General features: G+C 38.6%; 2 annotated features.

The window, feature by feature from the left end:
- Positions 243–312: an enhancer, noted in NCBI's record as "active region_25024". NCBI's record gives its function as "activates an Ori minimal core promoter by ATAC-STARR-seq in GM12878 lymphoblastoid cells {active_cell/tissue: GM12878}" and the evidence as "EXISTENCE:reporter gene assay evidence [ECO:0000049][PMID:35858748]".
- Positions 333–572: an enhancer, noted in NCBI's record as "active region_25023". NCBI's record gives its function as "activates an Ori minimal core promoter by ATAC-STARR-seq in GM12878 lymphoblastoid cells {active_cell/tissue: GM12878}" and the evidence as "EXISTENCE:reporter gene assay evidence [ECO:0000049][PMID:35858748]".

The raw sequence follows: 2,672 nt of genomic DNA, 5'->3' as shown, positions 1-2,672 counted from the left end.
ATTTTTTTGTTGTTGTTGTTTATACCACACTAGATAAGCCACCTAGATCAACAGAGATAATGGCAAGAGAATCAAGAATGGTTAACATAGGAGAGAAAATATAAATATCAGTGTAGTCTTAAGAATAACCACAGCAGTGGGGGCTAAAATTCATCCTACTGAAACTGCATTTGCAAAGATGCTGCCAGTGAGAGAAACTAAACAGCTGACTCCACCTTACTTCTAGCCTCACAGGCGGGCTGTGTTTGGCCATTCCTGGGTATAAGCCAAGCTAACCATGGGAGGAATTTAATTCATAGTTTAACTTTGAAGCAAGAACAATGATAATCCCTCCTTATCACTGATTCCATCCTTGTTAGAGGGCTGAAATTGCTTTTGTAACACTAATGAAAGGCCACAAGATTAGGATTATAGGAGGGCCTGGAAATCTGCCAAAGTGTAGGTGTAGTTTCTTTAATCCCTTACTGCTCAGGAGTCATGTGGCCAGAGGTCACAAGATTCGTGACTTCCCCAGTTGCTTCTATAGATAACATCACTATTATCGAAACTAAGATTCATCTTTTGAGATATTTTTCAGACTTCTGGTAACTGACTGACCCTACCTGAACTCATGACTCATGACTCAACCAGTTCAGTAGCCCCCCACCCAGTGGTGGACTCAGGGCAGGAAGACTGTTCTCCACACCCATGACTGCATCCCCAACCAATCAGCAGCACCCACCAAACTATCCTTGAAAAACCCTAACCTCTGAGCTTTTGGGAAGACTGATTTGAGTACTAACTACATCTACCAGGTGGCTGGCCTTGTGTTAATTAAACTCTTTCATTTCTGCAATACCATAGTCTCAGCGAATTTTTTTGTTTCCTGCGCAGTGGGCAGAAAGAACCTGTTGGGCAATTATGCCAGTAATCTACCTCTTGCAAATATCACAAGGAAAAGAGACAAACTAGAAACCTGAAGGTACTATTCCTACACGGAGTGACCTTATACAAAGTGGATCCCAGCAGCTCAAGGATGCTACCATATACTGCTCAGATCTCCCCTTCAGGACGCAGACCACCACCCCAACTACCAGGACTGTTGCCTTCTGATAGAACATCATTCACAGCTGAGTTCCTCCCACAAAATTGCTTTCAGATGAAAGGAGCTGCTTTGGCAAGGGTTATGTTCCCCTCCACAAGTCAGGCCTCATCTAATGACCGGACCATATAGGCTTACAAAGACCTAGCTCTTGCCTCAACTTGAGATGGTTTGGAACACCTCTGGGGGTGTATTCTAGATCTAAGGCTCCCTGTTTTATCAGCTGAAGCCTCTGGTTGTGCCTGCATCTCAGTCACATTCTCCTTCTGTCCAATCCTCCTTCCTTCACTCCTTTATAGGTGTTTTTGTGATGCATCCTCCCTGCTAACCCTCCCACACAGGAATCTCAATCTCAGAGGCCATTTCCTTGGGGACACGGCATTGGAGAGCAGTATTTTGTGGTATTTTCACAATTGCTTGATTTGTTAATGTAAAATTAACAGTAATCTTTAAGAAGTGGATTTTAAATACAAAAATATGGAGACATAACTGGCTAAACCAATTCCCAAAGTAATGCAAACAGACTCTTATAACAAAACATAGATTTTATTGTATTACTTTTGGTTTTGGTTTCTGTTGTAAAAGCAAAGAGCCACAAGGTAGCTTTGATTTCCACCAGCCAATTTCTTATGAAGTAGAGAGTTTCTTTTGAGATGTAATTCTTCTGTGTTTTTTTTTTCTAATTTAGATTTTACCCCCAAATGCTAGCTATATAAAATGATATTAGCACAATAGAAGCAAGGAGAAAAGAAAACAAACCAAACTTTTGTTTATTTCTAAATACCCTATAGGAAGTTGTAAAAAGATTCATGCATAACAATAGAATGTAAATTTAGGTAATGATTTGGATCTTCTCCAATTGCAGCCTCAGCCTTGAAAACAACAGATTTCCTCAGAAATTCATTGTAGCTCAAACATAAAATTCTTGTTACACCATCGCTAATTGACATTGCACAAGCATATGTAACGAGTTTTCCAATAAAGAAATAAATACCTTTTGTGAACAGGGAGAAAAAAAGGCCAATATGGGAGAATATTTTCGTTAAATGAATCAAGATAGGGATTTGGATGTTTTAAGTCTTTTCATTTATACTTGCATTTATATCACTGATCCGTAAAAATTCCAAATGAAAAAGTGGCAGCACTCTGTGACAGAGGCATACTAGAGTAATTATGGGGAAAAAAATCCAAAAACCCTGAGGTCCCCATATTTAATTAGTATAAAAGCATTAGCCTTGCAAATTCACATAGTTTCCTTTCTTCTTTTGTTTTTGACTATGGGGAAAATAATAACTAACATATAATATAGATACAGGATAAGTTCAAAAGCACCACTTCCTTAGCTTATGTGATTCACTCAAATTGTTCTTTTAAACAATTTCTTGAAAATCTCCTAGTTTCTAGAAAAGATTTCAGATGGCTTAAAGATACGAAAGCAAGAAAAATAAGAGGGAAGGTAAGTAGAAATAAATCTGAACAAAGAACAAAAACAAAATGAGAGATGAGAAGCTAAACTGAGGTCCATGATTAGGGTAGCACACAATAACATGCTAATACCAAGCACCAAGCAGTAAATTTACTAGAGGACTGT

The sequence above is a fragment of the Homo sapiens genome, chromosome 6 (assembly GCF_000001405.40).
Source record: "Homo sapiens chromosome 6, GRCh38.p14 Primary Assembly".
Lineage (NCBI taxonomy): Eukaryota > Metazoa > Chordata > Mammalia > Primates > Hominidae > Homo > Homo sapiens.
The sequence above is the reverse complement of the archived record's forward strand: the minus strand, read 5'-3'. Positions and strand labels throughout refer to the sequence as shown.